At 48.5% G+C, this 18,687-nt stretch overlaps 1 protein-coding gene and 1 long non-coding RNA gene across 2 annotated transcripts in view, besides 9 other annotated features; one reads left to right on the forward strand and one right to left on the reverse strand.

Moving 5' to 3' along the window:
- The window catches only part of TMEM177 (transmembrane protein 177), a 44,418-nt gene that overhangs the window by 21,000 nt on the left and 4,731 nt on the right, over nucleotides 1-18,687 (forward strand). The window contains exons 9-16 of the transcript NR_148341.2: nucleotides 146-270; nucleotides 631-655; nucleotides 803-894; nucleotides 1,353-1,545; nucleotides 3,420-3,808; nucleotides 3,893-4,018; nucleotides 15,570-15,693; nucleotides 18,456-18,566. The gene's annotated coding sequence lies outside the window, so the exon portion shown is untranslated. The remainder of the gene's footprint in view (nucleotides 1-145; nucleotides 271-630; nucleotides 656-802; nucleotides 895-1,352; nucleotides 1,546-3,419; nucleotides 3,809-3,892; nucleotides 4,019-15,569; nucleotides 15,694-18,455; nucleotides 18,567-18,687) is intronic.
- Nucleotides 8-1,207: an enhancer, noted in NCBI's record as "MED14-independent group 3 enhancer chr2:120457784-120458983 (GRCh37/hg19 assembly coordinates)". NCBI's record gives its function as "activates an origin of replication core promoter dependent on BRD2, BRD4, P300/CBP and CDK7 cofactors, and independent of MED14, by STARR-seq in HCT116 cells {active_cell/tissue: HCT116}" and the evidence as "EXISTENCE:reporter gene assay evidence [ECO:0000049][PMID:35650434]".
- Nucleotides 8-1,673: a biological region, named in NCBI's record as "MED14-independent group 3 enhancer GRCh37_chr2:120457784-120458983".
- Nucleotides 461-1,066: an enhancer, noted in NCBI's record as "NANOG-H3K27ac-H3K4me1 hESC enhancer chr2:120458237-120458842 (GRCh37/hg19 assembly coordinates)". NCBI's record gives its function as "activates a minimal SCP1, AML or CMV promoter by ChIP-STARR-seq in naive and primed H9 embryonic stem cells {active_cell/tissue: H9 hESC(naive and primed)}" and the evidence as "EXISTENCE:reporter gene assay evidence [ECO:0000049][PMID:30033119]".
- Nucleotides 1,067-1,673: an enhancer, noted in NCBI's record as "NANOG-H3K27ac-H3K4me1 hESC enhancer chr2:120458843-120459449 (GRCh37/hg19 assembly coordinates)". NCBI's record gives its function as "activates a minimal SCP1, AML or CMV promoter by ChIP-STARR-seq in primed H9 embryonic stem cells {active_cell/tissue: H9 hESC(primed)}" and the evidence as "EXISTENCE:reporter gene assay evidence [ECO:0000049][PMID:30033119]".
- Nucleotides 1,674-2,279: an enhancer, noted in NCBI's record as "H3K27ac-H3K4me1 hESC enhancer chr2:120459450-120460055 (GRCh37/hg19 assembly coordinates)". NCBI's record gives its function as "activates a minimal SCP1, AML or CMV promoter by ChIP-STARR-seq in naive H9 embryonic stem cells {active_cell/tissue: H9 hESC(naive)}" and the evidence as "EXISTENCE:reporter gene assay evidence [ECO:0000049][PMID:30033119]".
- Nucleotides 2,887-3,491: an enhancer, noted in NCBI's record as "H3K4me1 hESC enhancer chr2:120460663-120461267 (GRCh37/hg19 assembly coordinates)". NCBI's record gives its function as "activates a minimal SCP1, AML or CMV promoter by ChIP-STARR-seq in primed H9 embryonic stem cells {active_cell/tissue: H9 hESC(primed)}" and the evidence as "EXISTENCE:reporter gene assay evidence [ECO:0000049][PMID:30033119]".
- Nucleotides 15,111-15,612: an enhancer, noted in NCBI's record as "H3K4me1 hESC enhancer chr2:120472887-120473388 (GRCh37/hg19 assembly coordinates)". NCBI's record gives its function as "activates a minimal SCP1, AML or CMV promoter by ChIP-STARR-seq in naive H9 embryonic stem cells {active_cell/tissue: H9 hESC(naive)}" and the evidence as "EXISTENCE:reporter gene assay evidence [ECO:0000049][PMID:30033119]".
- Nucleotides 15,247-15,495: a silencer, noted in NCBI's record as "fragment chr2:120473023-120473271 (GRCh37/hg19 assembly coordinates)". NCBI's record gives its function as "represses an EF-1alpha promoter that drives an FKBP-Casp9 reporter gene in an ReSE screen in HepG2 liver carcinoma cells {active_cell/tissue: HepG2}" and the evidence as "EXISTENCE:reporter gene assay evidence [ECO:0000049][PMID:32094911]".
- Nucleotides 15,613-16,112: an enhancer, noted in NCBI's record as "H3K4me1 hESC enhancer chr2:120473389-120473888 (GRCh37/hg19 assembly coordinates)". NCBI's record gives its function as "activates a minimal SCP1, AML or CMV promoter by ChIP-STARR-seq in primed H9 embryonic stem cells {active_cell/tissue: H9 hESC(primed)}" and the evidence as "EXISTENCE:reporter gene assay evidence [ECO:0000049][PMID:30033119]".
- The window catches only part of LOC101927764 (uncharacterized), a 41,770-nt gene continuing 40,827 nt past the window's right edge, over nucleotides 17,745-18,687 (reverse strand). Inside the window, exon 4 of the long non-coding RNA XR_007087215.1 lies at nucleotides 17,745-18,470. This is a non-coding gene — a long non-coding RNA (uncharacterized LOC101927764). The remainder of the gene's footprint in view (nucleotides 18,471-18,687) is intronic.

Below are 18,687 nucleotides of genomic sequence, written 5' to 3' on the forward strand. Positions count from 1 at the left end.
GAAGGAACAGGAAACAGGAATGGGAACAAGAGGTGGGTGTACTTGGGGTATGGATCGTGGGAGGGAACAAGCAGGAAGCTGGGTGCCATGGGAATCTGCAGGCCAGTGACTTTCAAGGTGAGGCCAGTATCATTGTTTCTTTCAGTTTACTCTTGTTGGGAGCCTGAGAGTTCCCGTGGCATTGTCCTTGGCTTTCCGGGACATTTAAAGCAACGGTCAACTCGAGCTTGTCCACATGGAGAGAATGCCCCATCTCCATACGCCAAACAGGTACTATGTTAGGTCTTCTGATATATATTCTCCTTTAATCCTCACAACACTGCAATGGGGAGATTGTCTGCTTTGCAGATGAGAAAAATGAGACTTATGGAAAGGTTAAGGGTTAAGAACTTACCTACAGTTGCACCCACCATCGGGCCATGTTTCAAAAGGCAGCATCAACTGCAAAGGCCATGATCTTTTCTCTTTACTTCTGCCTCCCAGATTCAATGACAAGACCTGGCCTATGGTAAAATGGAAACACCATTTTGTAGGTCTCCTGGCTCCTAGGCAAGTGTCACTTCACTAAAGGCAGTTTTTCCTGCAGATTTCTGTCCTAGGAGATCCACATGGCTTTGTTTTTCTCTGCAGCTGTCCCGGCCTCTTTCATGAATAGGTAACCTTGCTTTTTCTGGCTGTTTTGAGATCTTTACATGCATGCATTTGCAATTCCCTCAGGCCAGGCCTGTGCTGGCAACCGCGATCACAGGGAGGACGCTGTCCCTAAAAGGCTCACAGCCTTCTCTTCTCTGATTCGCCACAGGTCTGACTGATCCTGGGGACAAGAGAGCCAAGGACAGAGCTGGAGGCAGGAGGGCAGGAATGTGTGGTGACCTGGTAGTTCTGAAACAGCAGGTTATTCCTCCCCCATCCCTCCCACCTCCTTTTCCCTTTATTCCTTTTTTCTCCCTATTTAAGGTGCTGTGTCCTTTGCCCCAGGGAAGAGGTATGAGAGCAGAAAGCAGAAAAAAGGAGTTGCTTCCTGGCTTTTGTTTTCCAAGCCTTCCTAGAGCCATAGGGGAACAGAAAGTTACTTGGGCTTGGACAAAAGATCTAGGAGAAAACAACAGGAGCAAAAGAGAGGAAGTTGAGCCAGGCTAAGGTTCCTGGGGCTGGGTGAAGGGAAAAAGGTGAAAAGCGGGTTCTGGGTCCTGCCTCCTAACTGAGGCCCTGGGAGGTGGCAGGACCGCGAGTGGGTTGAGGGGATTGAGAGCAGAGGGAGCCTGGCCCTCATTTCCCTAGGGGGTCGGGGGAGCCCAGTTGGGGGTGGGGTGCGGAGAGCTGAATAGAGCTCTCCTTACCTGTTCTTTCAGAAAGTCCGGTGTCCCAGCGCAGTGACAAGGCCACAGAGGGGTTCCAGTGAATCCCAGTGTAACCGCCCAATGGGTTCACCTTGCTGGCTGCCTAGACAGAGCCGGTTTATCAAGACAGGAGAACTGCAATGGAGAAAGAGGAATTCACGCAGAGCCAGCTGGGCGGGAGACCGGGAGTTTTATTATTACTGAAGTCAGTCTCTATTATTACTAAAATCAGAGTTTTTAAAGATAATTTGGCAGATAGGAAGGCTTGGGAAGTGGGGAGTGCTGATTGGTCAGATTGGAGAGGGAATCAGAGAGGATCAAAGTGAGCTTTTCTTGCTGTCTTCTGTTCCTGGGTGGGACAGCAGAACAGGTTGAGTCAGATTACCGGTCTAGTTTCTCAGCTGATCCATCCAGTGCAGGGTCTGCAGAATATCTCAAGCACGGATCTTAGGTTTTACAGTAGTGATGTTATCCTCAGGAGCAATTTGGGGAAGTTCAGACTCTTGGAGCCGGAGGCTGCATGACCCCTAAACTGTAATTTCTAATCTTGTAGCTAATTTGTTAGTCCTGCAAAGCCAGGCTGGTCCCCAGGCAAGAACTGATTTTGTTTCATAGCCAAACCATGAACTGAATTCCTTCCCAAAGTTAGTTTGGCCTATGCCCAGGAATGAACAAGGACAGCTTAAATGTTAGAAGCAAGATGGAGTCGGTTAGGTCTGATTTCTTTCACTGTCATCATTTCCTCAGTTATAATATTGCAAAGGCAGTTTCACCAATGTAACAAGTGAAGGGGTCCCACCATCAGGAATGTGGGGCCTCTCATGGGGACTCCTTGGCTGCTGGCTGCTGGCTGCTGGCTGCTGCCCAGGAACATCTCAGCAGTGAGTGAGATGGTGCTTATGAGGACAGATGACAAAGAGGATTGGTGGCTCCTATGTCTTGGCACTACATAAGAGTTCCTTTGTTCACCCACCTTGCTCTAGGACATAATCCCAGGGAAAGGGCAGGAGAGAACCCTGAAATGACTAAAATTAAGTTACTACCACTTTTTGATGGAATTGGAGTTCAAAATAAAAATGTAAAAATTAATGCAAAATAAAGTTACTTTTCTTATTCACCTGAGTCAGAGACAAGCAAAAATGCCATGGGATCAGGGGAAAAGGGCATAAAGATTGCACTGGGTGGTTGGGGAGTGTGATTGCAGAAGGCTTCCTGGAGGAGGTGAGGCTGAATTGAACATTTTAAGGTTCTTGATATGTATGCCGATTTAAATTTCCAATAGTGTCAGACCTCCTGCTCTAACCAAAACAGTCCTCTATCCCAGGGATGTCATCCCTTGGATGCTCAAAGCCCTGTGGGAACTTCTCAGGGGGCTGGTACCAGAGCCTGGGTGCATACTATCCTCAGAGTGGCCAATTCCTGTGACCGGGCAGGAGCCCGCTGGGCACTGTTTCCCGCAGATGCCCTATCTGGCCAGCAGGGGGAGCAAGCTCACCGTGGCCCAGGGCGTGGCCGGCTCAGCAGGAGCCCCCGGGAGAAGGGCCGGTGGAAGCCCAGAGAGCTAGGAGCGCCTCCTCGCTTTACTAGCCTGCTAGGGAGTGGCACCTTTGTCACCGTTAGACTTTTATCCCTCAGCCCTCAGCCCTGGGCCCAGCCCTGCATTTTCCTCTAGAACAGTTCTTTTGGGTGCTACTCCTGACTTGTAACTGGACAAAGAAAGTAGGAGTTGATGGCACATCATGGTTTCCAGGGACCTCTTGGGACAGCTGGGAGCGAGGCTGGGCCTCTGGGGTTTCTCGCCTGAACTCTCCAAGCCTGTGGCCTGTGGAGAGGCCCCATCCACTGAGTCATGTAAAATGGCAGATGTTGACAAATAATTATGGGCAAAGATGCCCATCACACTCATTGAGCAGGGGCCATTCCAAATGTCCCTTCATACTACTACTGATAATAACTTGTAGTCCCACCGTATGATGAAATGTCATTTAGCAGTTAAAAACCCTGGCGTCCAGGGATATTTAATGACATGGGATAGTGCTCACATATAATGTGGATGTTTTTCTCCATTCGTTCTTCCAGAATCATGCTCTGCCCTGCCCCGCACCCCAGGAGGTTGGTCCCATGCTCCGGATCACCCCGACTCCCTTCCCCTCTGGCTCCAAGCTGGATTCAGCCCACAGGAGACACCAGCAGAAGATGGAAGGCTGGGAGGAGAGGCTGGGATCTGTCTCCTCCACTCTCTGCCTGTCTCAGGGCCTCCAGGACTGCAGCTTCCACTGGGCAGCCTCCCCTTGATCCTAAGGGTGGTAACAGCTTCCTGCTATTGCCAGCTGCTGGGTGCCTCAACATCCTTTGTTGGTTTCCTTAAACTTGTCCACATCTCTGTAAATCATCCTTTACTAAATAGCCCTTCATCTGAAGCATCAGTATGAATGCCATTCCTGCCAGGACTCTGACCAATGCACATGGTAAGTGAAAAGAGAAAAATACAGAACTTTGTATTTAAAAAAAGGCAGATACTTTATCTGTATTATTTCACTAAACCCTCACAGCAATGCAGTGGAATGCAGCCGAAAGGAGTGTTGACACCAGATTCAAATTTAGAAAGCATTTGAAAGCATGGTCTAATAATGTCTCCATGGAAGAGGAAGAACATGCTGACAAAGGAAGTGAAGAAGGTACTCTAGACATTTATTCCATTTAGAAGCTGCCATAAGTTACTACCAGATTGTATTTTTTTAATGCATAATATTTTAACTCTTAAGAATGTACTTCTGGGCCAGGCATGTTGTCTCACGCCTGTAATCCCAGCAGTTTGGGAGGCTGAGGTGGGTGGATCACGAGGTCAGGAGATTGAGACCATCCTGGCCAACATGGTGAAACCCCGTCTGTACTAAAAATACAAAAATTAGCTGGGCGTGGTAGCGCATGGCTGTAATCCCAGCTACTTGGGAGGCTGAGGCAGGAGAATCGCTTGAACCTGGGAGGTGGAGTTTGCAGTGAGCCAAGATTGTGCCACTGCACTCCAGACTCCGTCTCAAAAAAAAAAGAATGTGCTTCTGATAAAGAAGAAGGGGAGGAAAGGAGGAGGAGGAAGGTAGCTTGATAAAGTAGGACACATTTTCATCGTTGTGCAAACATAAGAAAATAAAGTAGGCCACATGAGCTCAGATGACCTGGTTTTTCCCTAAGCCAAAAACCCAGCTTAGAATGGGAGGAGCTGACTTAATTTCTCAGAATCTCAGCTCTACCACTGTGTGACCTCAGTGTTATAAATCTGTAAAATGGTTATATTAATCCATGCCTTATGAGTCATTGTGTTGATTGATAGAGTCAACATATGGAAAGCATCTGGTTCTGTGCCCAGGTCCTGTGGGAACTCAGTATAATTTGAATTCCCCTTCCTGTCCCTTCAACCACATCTGGAAGGGAAAGTTGCGGCTCTGGCTAAAACTGAAAAAAGGAGTGTGAGACAAAAGCCTCATTTGGTGACCTAGTTCCTGGCACGTATTAGTGGCTCTTTTTAAGCAGCTGACAAATGGATGAATGAACAAATGAATGCTCTGCCCAGATCTCCCCTCCCCAGGCCAGGTCCCAGGCTGACTTTTCAAAGCCTTCTTGTACCAAAGCATCTTTATTCTCTATTCCACTGCTGTGTATGAGGTTTCCACAAACCTAGTGGCTTATTCCAGCACACATTTATTATCTCACAGTTCCTGGGCACAGCCTAGCTGGGTCCTCGGCTCAGGGACTCACAAGGCTGCAATCAAAGGATCAGCTGGGCTGCATTCTCATCTGGAGGCTGGACTGGGGCTGGTCTCAGAGCCTGGGCACACGCTGTTGAGTAGCCTCAAGGTCTCCCAAGTCTTACAGACTCATTCAGATTGTTGGCAGAATCTGTCGCCTTACGGTTGTAGGACTGAAGTCCCTATTTTCTTGCTGGCTGTCAGCAGGAACCCCTCTCAGCTTCTAGAGGTTGTCCATAGTTCCTTGTTATGTGGCATTCTCACAACATGGCAGCTTACTTCCACAAAGTCAGCACATACGAGTTACTCTCTCCCTTCAGCCCACTCAGATCCGTGTGTGTGTGTGTGTGTGTGTGTGTGTGTGTGTGTATAAAACCCCCTTTGCCATATAATGTAACTTAATCAAGGGAGTGACAGTCCATCACATTGGCCAGGCCATATTCTGTTGATGAGAAGCAAGTCCCAGTTTCCTCCCACACTCAAGAATAGACGGTGGGGGTTATACAGGGTGTGACTCATTGGGGGCCATTTTAGGGTGTGTCCACTACACCTATCACCTTAGAGTCCTGTTGGGTGACGAACAAACTTATGTATTTTCCTTCCATGTTATCTACTTGCATTTTTACCATGACATTCAGGAAATAATTCCTTAACCCCTGGTAATTGTGACAATGCCAGGAATTCTGGCTCTCTCTCTCTATATATATATATTATATATTATATATTATATATATTTATATATATATATATTTTTTTGAGGCAGAGTCTCGCTCTGTCACCCAGGCTGGAGTGCAGTGGCGCAATCTTGCTCAGTGCAACCTCTGCCTCCCAGGTTCAAGCAATTCTCCTGTCTCAGACTCCCAAGTAGCTGGGATTACAATTGCGTGCCACCACGCCCGGCTACTTTTTGTGTTTTTTTAGTAGACACGGGGTTTCGCCACGTTGGCCAGGCTGGTCTTGAACTCCTGACCTCAGGTGATCTGCCTGCCTCGGCCTTCCAAAGTGCTGGGATTACAGGCGTGAGCCACAGCGCCTGGCCGAATTCTGGCAGTATTTGTTGCTGGTTTCCTGTGGGGAAATGGAAGGGGTGGCCTCACCACTAGGAGTCTTCACGCTTTCCAGATTCACTGCTCAGATGGCCACTCACTTGTTCACATCTGTTCACCCATCTGTCAGCATATATTTCCTTTGCTGAGTGGCTAGCGCTGGGCCACAGAGGTAATGCTGCTAGTCTCTTCCTTGGTAACTGACTTTGCTTCTTTTATGTTACCTCCTTGAAAAGCTAGCTTCCTTTTTTTTTCTTTTGTTGACTAAAAAACATATTTTTTGCTTTGAATCAGGTATGTATTTACCTGCAAATAACACAAAACCCAAGAAACAGTGGGTTAAATAAGAGATTTATTTTAATTACCTTACAAGAGGTCCAGGGTTAGGCACTCCAGGACCGGTGAAGCTGCTCAAAAATGTCATCATTGTCTCAGCCTTCTTCTTCTCCCAGCATCTAACATTAGCCCTCATGGTCACAAGGTTGCTGCTGCATCACCAGGCATTGCACCCATGTTTCACACAGAAAGATGTGGGAGAGTAAAGAGACTTGCCTTTTTATTTTATTTATTTATTTTATTTTATTTTATTTTATTTTTGAGAAGGAGTCTCGCACTGTCACTCAAGCCAGAGTTCAGTGGTGTGATCTCGGCTCACTGCAACCTCTGCGTCCCAGGTTCAAGCGATTCTCCTGCCTCAGCCTCCCGAGTAGCTGGGACCACAGGCGCCCACCACAACGCCCAGCTAATTTTTTGTATTTTTAGTAGAGACAGGGTTTCGCCATGTTAGCCAGGCTGGTCTCGAACTACTGGCCTCCCAAAGTGTTGGGATTACAGGCATGAGCCACTGCGCCCGGCCTGAGACTTGCCTTTTTATTCTGGAAGGATCACCCACCCCGAGGACTTCCATCTACACCTCATTGGCCAGAACTTGATCACGTGATCATCAGTAACCCCAAGAGCACTGGGGAAGCAAATTCGTTTAGCTGGGCACATTATCAGCCTGAACAAAATCAAGGTTCTGGTGGCAGGAAGACAAGGAAACGGATTTGGGTTAGGTCACCACTGGGACCACTGTGGAGAATTAGGCCAAATCTCCATGGTTCCTCAAAGCTGAAGGTTCTGCAATGACAGCAGTGGATTCTTTCTGGGTCCTTGTCAGCAGGCGAAGCTGACACAGAAACGTTCTTGGTTTCTTTGCCAGAAAGGTGTTATCTGAGCTTCCAGCAGCTGCTGTAAAATGGAAATAATGGCTCTTCTGCCCCAAGGGCCCTGCTGTCCAGAGCTCTCTGGAAGGTGGCAAGAGGCCTCCATGGCAAGCTTGAAGGGATGAGATGCTAATGTGCAAACTATGCTTCAGGGTAGAGATGAGACAAACAAACAAAAATGCACAGAGAGAACAGAGCTTAGGCCCTGGACCTGTCTGGCTTCACATCCATGCCACTCGCCCCTCCCCTCCTCCACTCCGTGTTGCATGGAGCTGCCCCTGATGACTCCATTTTGGTTGGAGATGGGGCTTGGCCAACGGGGAGCACTAGCAGGAGATGGGGAGGTGGGAGGATGGGACAAGCCAAGGTTTTCCCTCTCTGTCTACCTCGGGTAGTGTCCCTGCTGCAGCTGCGGTTCTGCCATGGCTCCGGCGCCTCTCCCAAAAGGCCTGCTGTGGTTTCTGTTTTGCCCCTGTGCTACAGCCCCTGCTCTCCAGCGACAGCACTTTCCTGGCCTTGCCCCCCAGCCCAGGGTTGTCACATCTGACACTAATCTCAGGGTTGTGTGTTTGGCTGCTCAGTCTCCCACCCACTGTGTAACCAATAACCAATACTCTGCCTCAAAGTCCTTCTGTTTTCAAGACTCCAGTGGTCTTTGTCTCCTGGTTAGATCCTGACTCATACAAACCATACAAGAAATACCCAAACACCCATCTCTTAGCTTTAACAATGATTACCATTCTGCCACATTTGTTTCATCTATTTTTATTTTTGTGGAAAAAAAAATCTCAGGCATCATAATGTTGCTAAATGATTTCAGCATGTATCTCTGAAAAATAAGGACATTTTCTTACATAACAGGCATATTTAGTTGTTCACACCCGTGTTCACAAATTAACACACCTAACAACATGAGCAAAACTTCCTTATGGCCATCAAATATGCAATCCATATTCAAATTCCCCCGATTGTTCCAAAGATGTCTATTTTACAGTTGCTTTGTTCAAATCAAGATTTAAACAAGGTTCACACATTGCATTTGGTAGATATGTCTCCTGAGCGTCTTTTAATCTTAAGCAGTCCTCCCCACTAGACAATCACACGCAGACACACACACACACACACACACACACACACATACACACACACACAGTCGCACTGGCACACCCTGCTCATGCCCACTTCTCACATCACTCTTTGTAAAAACTATCCTGTCAGTTTTGGTCCACAGCCCTTCTCTCACAGGGCACACACCCTCTCCTCCCTTCTCTGGACCCCTAGAGACTCCAAGTCACTGAGCCACAGCTTGGTATTGACTCTTATTGTTTTCTACATTTCTTTGTTTTGTTTTCCTCATACTAGGTAATGCCCCACAGAGGCAAGAACTAAGTCTCATAATGACCTTAACATCAAAGAAAACTTAAAGGTTACCTATTCTGAGACTTGATTTTTCTTTTTTATTGTTTTACAATTTGCATAAATAATATGTCATCACTCATCTTATGGATAAAAAAACTGAGGCCCAGGGAAGCTAAGTAATTTGTCTAAGAATGCACAGCAAGTTGGCATCAGAACAGGCATCCACTTTGGGTGGATTTTCCACTGTACCATGCGCGTCTCTTTCCATTTTTCTGTGGCACCCACCACTGTGTTATGACATGCAGACAAGGGTCCTCACTAAGTGCCTGTGGCCTGACAGATTGTGGCTCTGAGGTCAGTGCAGTCGTGGCCATTTAGAGATGGTTACTGAAAGTTAATAATTGGTGGTTCCTGCCTAAAAATCCCACCACATACTACAATCCCTTTGAATTTTCAAGAAATATTTGGTCCATTAGGGATATCAGAAGCCTTTGGTGAGCCAGACATGGTGGCTCATGCCTGTAATCCCAACACTTTGGGAGGCCAAGAGGGAAGGATCACTTGAGCCCAGGAGTCCAAGACCAGCCTGGGCAACATAGTGAGATCCTATATCTACAAAAAATAAAATGAAATAAAAATATTAGGCTGGGCACAGTGGCTTACACCTGTAATCCTAGCTCTTTGGGAGGCCAAGATGGGCGGATCACGAGGTCAGGAGATTGAGACCATCCTGGCTGGCTAACATGGTGAAACCCCGTCTCTACTAAAATACAAAAAAATTAGCCGGGTGTAGTGGTGGGCGCCTGTAGTCCCAGCTACTTGGGAGGCTGAGGCAGGAGAATGGCATGAACCCAGGAGGTGGAGCTTGCAGTGAACCGAGATCGCGCCACTGCGCTCCAGTCTGGGCGACTGAGCAAGACTCCATCTCAAATAAATAAACAAATAAATAAATAAAAAGGAGTTTTTGGTCATGGTTGATAGAGTCATCCAGCTAATCTTAGGGAAAGAAGACCCAAAAGAAAGATGTCAAAATGTACGCACTTGTAAACCCATAGAGATGGAGAGCAGATTGGTGGCCGCCGGGGACTGGGGAAAGGGGAAATGGGGAGTAACTGGTTAATGGGTGCAGAGTTTTCTTTGGGGGTGATTAAAATGTTTTGGAACTAGATAGAAGTGGTGGTTGCACAACATTGTGGAGATACTAAATGCCACTGAATTTTGAGTTTAAGGTGATTAATTTTATTTGATGTGGATTTCACCCCAATAAAAATAAACTGGTTAGAATGTCCCAACTCAGCTCTGCTAGACCCAACCACACCCCAGCCTTGCCATCCCCTCAGACTGTGTAAGCAGAAGATGAGATTCCAGGGGGAAATTCCCCGGAGTTTATAGGAGCAGTGTATTGGGCAGTATTTTGGCTTTCCCCTCCTCAGTCAAGGGAGGCACTGCAAGAGAATTCCAGATCATGGATGCCCGTAAGAAGCACATTTGAGCATCCACGGGGCAGGATGGAGGAGTCTGCAGTGGAGCAGCTCACATGCCCAAGCCCTACCCGCGAGTTTCGTGGGGCAGCAGGTTTCCTGGCCTGTCTACCGGCATTGCCCCCAGGAGCCCACCCCAGACAGAGGGACTCCAGCTGTCAGAGGGAGAGGCTTGAGGGAGGGACCCAAAGTCATCCCCCTTGGGAGATGGCACTTGGACACCTGCCATCTTTTTTTTTTTTTTCTTTTTGAGACAGAGTCTTGCTGTGTCACCCAGGCTGGAGTGCAGTGGCACGATCTCGGCTCACTGCAAGCTCCACCTCCCGGGTTCACGCCTTTCTCCTGCCTCAGCCTCCTGAGTAGCTGGGACTACAGGCGCCCCCACCACCCCCAGCTATTTTTTTTTGTATTTTTAGTAGAGACGGTGTTTCACTGTATTAGCCAGGATGGTCTCGATCTCCTGACCTCATGATCTGCCCACTTCCGCCTCCCAAAGTGCTGGGGTTACAGGCGTGAGCCACCACGCCCGGCCCAACACCTGCCATCTTGAGAACAGCAGTAGAGAACCCACAAAACCTGCAAAGAAGAGGCTACGATCAAATGCCCAGTGAAGCGAAAAGATTATCTTCCCCATTGCACTCCCTCCTCTTCCCCAAGTCCCCAAGCACAGGAAGAGAGAGGCACCAAAAGAGGGAGGAGAGGGATGAAGACCGACCACCCCACCCTCACGATAGGTGCCTGGCTCGAGGCAGGCTGGTCTGAGGGAAGCGCAGGCAGTGGATATGATATCGGATTCAAGATTTGAGGCTTTGAAAAGAAAGTGGACTGGACCATAGGGGTTTTTTAATACCTAAAAACAACCAAAAAGCTATGGAATTATGAAAAGGAGATTTGGTATAAATCTCTAAAAAGATCTGGAGAAAAAATAGAATCATTTCATGTTTGTGCCCCACGGAGTTCAAACAGTTAAGTAAGTTGTTTAATCTCTATTTTCTCATCTGTAAAATAAGGATAATAATGCCTTCTTGCTGGGTATTGGGAATTTCAGTGCGGTAATATTCACAAAGCCCCTGGCACGTAGGCAGTCAATAAAACGAGGAAGAGAACTGCAGCCTTCAGAAAGCAGAAAACGCTTCAGGGCAGAAACACGCAAGTCCTGGGGGCTGACACTCCCAAACAAAGGCTCAGTTTTTCACATCGCCTGGGGCTTGAAATACTGATAGGCTTCTCCCTTCTGAGGCTGTCTTCCTTCCCTAACTAAAAGCCACCTTTGTCATTGCCCAAGAAGACCAAGTATGACCCAAGCCGCACTGAACACAGCAAGACCTGGGACACCCAAGGAAGCTCGACAAGGCGCTGGGGAAAAGCAAACTGAGGACTCTTCGTAGTTACCTGATGACTCCATGGAACAAAGGAGTCCAGGCCTTTCCAGAAGTCACCAGAACAGGCTCCCTGAGATGACAGTCCTGGGGTGGGAAAGGAGCAAGTTACGCCAGATGACCTGGAACACAAATACCCTGTTAGCCTGGCACCCACTGGCAGCTGTCACTGGACACCTGATGGGAGAGTTTATCCCAAAAGTTATGGGCTGGCAGCTCCGGCAGCAGAATTTCCACGTGCATGGTCCTGAGGACAGAGACAGGTCCAGAGCCTGGGGGTTGAGAACAAGAAAAAGGTGGAGCAGCCACGCTCCAGGGCAGCAAAGAGACCTGGATTTGTCTGAGGCGTTGGCGTTAAGGCACCCCTTGATGCGGCTTCCTAGATATGTGGTATGGCCTGGGGCTGGTCTTTGGGCCCGTTTCTTTATCTATAAAAATGGAGATAGCACCTCACTTTGATAGGTGGATTGTTGCTGTCAATTCTGTACTCTCTCCTGCCGCGTGGCTCTGCGGTGCCCAACAGCAGCAGAGTATATTTCACCCCCATGGACACTGAGGCTTGGTGATTGTGATGGGTTGCCTTGTGTCCCCTCTAATTCCTATGTTGAAGCCTGAACCCCCAGTATCTCAAAATGGGGCCGTATTTGGAGGTAAGGCCTTTAAGGATGATTAAGTTAAAATGAGGTCATTTGAGTGGACGCTAATCCAGTGTGACTGGTGTCCTTATAAGAGGAAATTTGGATACACAGAGACACCAGGGATGCATGGGCTCAGAGAAAAGGCCACATGAAGGCACGGCAAGAAGGGGGCATCCACAAGCCAAGAAGAGGGGCCTCAGGAGAAACCAGCCCTGCCAACACCTTGACCTTCGACTTCCAACCTCCACAGCTGTGAGAAAGAAATGTCTATCGCTTAAGCCACCCAGTCCATGGTACTTCGTTAGGGCAGCCTGACACTGAAAGTTGGTCTGCTTTTTATTACCAGCATGCATGCACCAGCAATTCTAAACAATGCCAGTGACAAAATGTTCCTTCCTGCAGCCTGGACTGCTCCCACCACTCCCATCCTTAGAACCTCACTGACTGGCATGACTCTTGTTAAGACTGTAATAAAAAGATTATTATTGGTATCAGCAAGAAAGCAAGAGTTAGCTTGTTGAGCAGGGGGTAAATCTCATAAGGATATGTACATTAAGTCAGCATTTACATAGTCTAAGAACACACAAAACAATGCTATATATTATTTAGGTACATACACACATAAAGCATGAAGATTTGCCTAGAAATATTCGACACCAAACTTATGATAATGGTTTTCTTTTTTTTTTTTTGAGATGGAGTTTTGCTCTTGTTGCCCAGGCTGGAGTGCAATGGCGCAATCTTGGCTCACTGCAACCTCTGCCTCCCGGGTTCAAGTGATTCTCCTGCCTCAGCCTCCTGAGTAGCTGGGATTACAGGCATGTGCCACCAAGCCTGACTAATTTTGTATTTTTAGTAGAGACAGGTTTCTCCGTGTTGGTCAGGCTGGTCTCCAACTCCCGACCTCAGGTGATCTGCCCGCCTCAGCCTCCCAAAGTGCTGGGATCATAGGTGTGAGCCTCTGTGCCTGGCCTGATAATGGTTTTCATTGGTGGGGAGAGCTGGAGGGGTAAAAAGAGGTCCATAGATAATAAAGGTGACTTGTCATATATTAGGCCATTGTGTTGTTCATTGTATGCATTGTATCGTATTATATTCGTTATATTATTCCCCATGAGTTTTTATATGATTTAAATATTTCATTTAAAAACTGTGCACCATCTGGCCTGGCATGATGGCTCAAGCTTATAATCTCAGCACTTTGGGAGCCCGAGGCAGGAGGATCACTCAAGGCCAGTAGTTCCAGACTAGCCTGGGCAGCATTGAGAGACCCCATCTCTTGAAACAAAATTAGCCAAGTGGGATGGCTGGCACTTGTAGTCCCAGCTACTTGAAAGGCAGAGGTGAGAGGATCACTTGAGCCCAGGAGCTTGGATCTGCAGTGAGCCATGATTGTGCCCGTGCACTCCAGCCTGGGTGACAGAGTGAGGCCATGTCTCCAAAAAGCAAAACAAAACATAACTGTGCATCAGTCAAGGAGCCTGCTCTACCCTCCACACCAGGGCAGACCCACCACCAGGCTCCATCTCCATTTTCTATGGACTGTCTTCCCTCCTGGCCTGGAGCCATGACCCGGCCTGCCGCTTCAGGGAACAACAGGTAGTTCAGGATGACTGAGCCCAGAAGTGGCACGAGACCAGGGATGTGGCTGAACAGATGAGTGGTGGCCAAGGCACAGAGGGCCTTGTGTGCCATGTTGGAGAACTTGGGCTGTGTATGAAGAGAGGAGTCACTGGGACAGATCAGTGGCTTGGTGACAGGGAGACAGGGTGGCATTGGAGGCATACAAGAGACAGTGAGGTGGGCTCTGCAACAAAGGGAGGGATGTGCAAAAGGAGTTGGTCAAGAGAAATGGGGACAGATCTAGCCCCATGGCCGATCTGCTGTAGGATGGCAGCCAGTTCCAGCTGGAGGTGGAGTTTTCCTGGGTAAAAATGGAAGCAGCCGGCAATTGCTATTTATAAAAATAACTACAAAGACTTGACAACCCAGAGAGAATGCTGAAAAAGTAAATTGAGGGCTGTTGGGAAAATGCTCAGTGTTTCTCATCTTCAAAGCATTTCCGAGACATGAGCTCATGAATCCTTTCTCCGTGGCCCTGAGAAAAATATAGAAAAAGAAGGTGGGACAAAGCATGGGTGCCTTCCCCAAAGCAGCAGAATCTGGCTGCTGGAGATGTTATCATGGGATGCCCCTCAAATGACCACTCCTTCGATCTGCCCCAACTCTGTTCCTCAGACCCAGCCTGGTTAAGGGCTTGGCTATGAAGCAGCAAAGGGTGAGGCAGGCAGAGTTGGCAGGCTATGACAGCAGCTGTGCTGGGGGTCACTGCAAGCCCCAGGGGGCTGCTTAGATCCTAGTGATGAAGGCAAGAAAATGGCCAGGGGGCAGCCTGGGCTACTGATCAGGGGTCACACTGACCCCACAGCCCTGGCTGAGGCACATGGGACTTAATCGTGAAATTGGTACAGGCAACAGCTGCAATGCAAGCTTGGGCAAGGAAGAGGGTTTGAACCCAGACAAGGCAATAGGGAGGGAATGAAGGGCAGAGAGCAGACAGGAAGTGTATGCCACCTTGTCACCTGGAATAAGAACTACCTGCTACAAGTGCTAGGAACCAGGCACTTGAGCTCCCATTGTCATGACCCCCAAAAGCCCAAAGCATGGAGGCTCTTATCACTCTTTCACAGAGAAAGAAACTGGGAAGGCCAGGTGTGGTGGCTCACACCTGTAATCCCAACACTTTGGGAGGCCAAGGCAGGAGGATCACTTGAGGCCAGGTGTTCAAGACCAGTCTGGGCAACAAAGTGAGACCCTACATCTACAAAAAATAAAAAATAAAAATTAGACAGGCATGGTGGCTTGCACATGTAGTCTTAGCTCCTCTGGAGGGTGAGGTGGGAGAATTGCTTGCCCAAGAGGTCAAGGCTGCAATAAGCTATGTTCTCACCACTGCACTCCAGCCTGGACAGCAGAGCAAGACCCTGCCTCAAAGACAGAGAGAAAAAGAGAGAGAGAGACAGAGACAGACGGAAGATTTCTTTTAGGGAGAGTATCTCGCACAGCAGCAGTAACGGGATTTGCATTCATCTCCTCACCCCCAGCATGCCCCCACTCATTCTTCAAGTTTCGACTCAAGATCCCCGCCTCTGGAAGCCTTCCCAGGCTGCCCTCAGAGGGAAAGAGCAGTTTGCTTTTCTGTGCCCAGCAGTCCAGAGCTGGCCCTGTGAGAGCACCATGGTGCTGAGCTGTAAGGGCTCATTGCTTCTCTCCCACTGGACGGTGCCCTGAGAAGGACCAGCGGAACTTCGGCTTCCCTTGCTGTTGCCCCAGTCCTGGCAGCAATCAGCTTCCTCTGCTTTCTTGTCGTTTCAGCTCCCCAGGACCTGGTGCACCCCATGTCTCCTGCAGGGTGACCGCTGGCTGGCAAAGCCTGTCCCTGTGTTGTTAAGTCGGATTCCCCAGAGGGAGAAGCAGACGGGCCAGCAGCTTGGGTCAGGTAGGCAACCCCGCGTCAGAGGGGAGGGTGGCCCAACCCACAAGTGCAGTGACCCATGGGCCCAGAACAAAGACACACTTTACCCACACCCAGGCATGTGACAGAGTGGACTGGGCATCTAAGTCCACTGGGGAAACAGCAGGAAACAGAACAGATGGTTCGGCTTGCATTCCGGTGGGGAGTTGGACAACACACGAGCAGATCCATAAAGTGATATCCGAGAGTGATCTGTGCCGCCAAGAAAGGAAGACAGGTCCTGCGACAGGGCTGACTGTGGAGCCTCCTTAGCCAGGCTGGACAGGGATGCCTCTCCCAGGAGCCCGCACTGGAGACTAGTGTGTCCCACCAGACTTCCACGTGGCCTGCGAGTGCTCAGCAATAGTGACAACAGGGTCTCTACTCCATGAAAAACCATCCCCAGACCCGAAAGCACTGCTTTCATTTCATGGTTCTGCACATTTTCTCCAGCCTCTGCAGTGAAAGATTATTTCATTGCCTTCAACAGAAGGCGTATTTGTGTGTGTACATATGCTTGAGAGAAATTTACTGAAAAGATGTGGGTACGAGACCAGCTGGCTGCACTTGCCACGCCAGGATCCTCTCTCAGCAATATGCCCAAGAGCTCGTGTTTGCAATGCTCGAGTCCCAGCCAGGGGAGAAATGGGTGTAAGGGACCCACAGGGGAACAATTTGTGTTGACTTGGAGCTCCACATGCTCCTTCAAAGGAAGGGAGAACCTTGGAAGGAGGAAAGGACTGAAGACTTTCCAGGGAAATTCAAGAGTCTCAGGCAATTAGTCAGATCCAGAATATAGATCCAATATTCAGAAGCAGAAGAGGGAAATGCAATTATTTGGGGGTCTCTCTCTTCTAGTCTCCTTCTGAAAAGCCCTTTTCTAAGACCTCAATTCCTATGTCTACTCAATGGGTATGATTCCTATCACTTTCTCGTAAGTACATTTTCCTTCAAAGTTTAAAAATTTTGTAGATCTTCAAGTGCGTAAGGCATAGTAGTGCTAAACAGAGGTGGAAGTAGTGAAGGGAGTTTTGAACGTAAAAACATAAATCGAGAGATGATGAACATGTTTACTTCTTCCTTCACCTCTCTCCCCCCACCCCTTTTTCTCTTCTTTTTTCCGTCAGTTTCTCTTTATGGTTAATACAAAAGGGACAGGCTTTTGCCAAGATCCGATTCTTCATGGGACACCATGGGCCTCAGGGGTGGGGCAGAGGCAAAAGACATCTCCCCTTGCTGGCCATTCTAGCATTCAGGACCAGCTACATAATTTGGGGAGCCCAGTACAAAATGAAAATGCAGGGCCCCTTGTGTAAACTAATTAAGTGGGAGGATCGCTTGAACTCGGGAGGCAGAGGTTACAGTGAGCCAAGATTGCACCACTGCCCTCCAGCCTGGGCAACAGAGTATGACTCCATCTGGAAAAAAAAAAAAGAAAAAGAAAAAAAAGAAAAGGAAAGGAAAGAAAGTCTGAGACAGTGGCAGGGCTCTTGTGAGTGTGGGGCCCCATATGCCTGCACTGGGTGCACCCCCAGGAAGCTGGCCCTGCCCATAGTTATGAGTGTAGATGTGGGTTACCCAGGAGCTTTTCTGTGGGCCCCTGGGTGGTGGATACACCTTTTGTCTGATTACTAGGCCACAGCTTCTTGGAACCTCTCTCAGTTCCCCCATGGCTGACTTTGCCATTGACTTGAGTCTTTTTTTTTTTTTTTTTTTTTGAGACAGAGTCTTGCTCTGTCACCCAGGCTGGAGTGCAGTGGCGCAATCTTGGCTCACTGCAACCTCCACCTCCCGGGTTCAAGCAATTCTCCTGCCTCAGCCTCCCGAGTAGCTGAGATTACAGGCGTGCGCCACCATACCCAGCTAATTTTGTTGTTGTTGTTGTATTTTTAGTAGAGATGGAGTTTTGCCATGTTGCCCAGCCTGGTCTCGAACTCCTGACCTAAGGTGATCCACCTGTCTCGGCCTCCCAAAGTGCTGGGATTATAGGCATGAGCCACCGCACCTGGCCAACTTGAGTCTTTAAAAGGAGGATGTGCCTGATACGTATTAGCTGATACCTCTTCCCGGCTCCTGCTTCCCGGTCCCTTCTCCGAGCTGGTTCGTTCTGCTCTCCCTAGGGGGTCTTCAGCACCAAGGGAGTGGGGGCACAAATAGGGGTCTGAGTAAGCTGAAATTGCAGGCAGGAATCAGAAGCAGAATTTTTATCTTAAATCAGAGCAAAAGGAATAAAGCGGACAGTTCCTAAAATGCCTGTGTTTCTAGAGTTTAGAATCTCAGTTTATGTTCCTTCTGGCAAACCATATACAAAGGATTCTTGCAGAACCACTGTTCCTTACCAAGCTGTGTCAGGCTGAAATCACCATTACGCTCATGTATATTTTAAGTCATTTCCCCCACTAAGGAGCACCACACACCCCACCTCCGTGAACATCCCATCCTCACTGCCCAGGGCTGACCTCTTTAAATGGGGACTGGGGGTTTGTTTTCAATCTAATGTCTCCAGCTGAGGTGGGCGAGTGCTTGGTTTCAGGCAATGGAGCAGGTGAAGGGAGGCCTTTGGCATTCACTCTTTCTCAATAGAGGTAAGATTTTCTTACTATTTTCCCAACGCCTCTGGATAATTATTTGCTACTTTCAAAGGAATGAGGCTCATATTTCAGAGGAAATCGCCATCTCACTCTTACTTCATGTGGCTGTCCTTACCACGTGACTAGGTCCGCATCCAGTGTGTTTTGAGCCCCCAGGTGCTGCCTGAGCCCCTGTTTTATGAAAAACAAATTGTTGAAAGGAGAGAAAGTGAAGAACAGTTGAAGAGAGGAAGAGCGGCAGAAACAGCTGCCACTGAGTAGGGATTGGTGAGTAGCTACTTCATAAACCCTGTAACAGGCTTTCGAGTCAGCACTGTTCCTGCTCTACCCAAACCCAGTCTCCCCACCTTCATTGCTGGGAAAGCCCCGATGTTTCCTATGAAAGCAG

This window comes from Homo sapiens, chromosome 2 (genome assembly GCF_000001405.40).
Source record: "Homo sapiens chromosome 2, GRCh38.p14 Primary Assembly".
In the NCBI taxonomy this organism is placed as follows: Eukaryota; Metazoa; Chordata; class Mammalia; order Primates; family Hominidae; genus Homo; species Homo sapiens.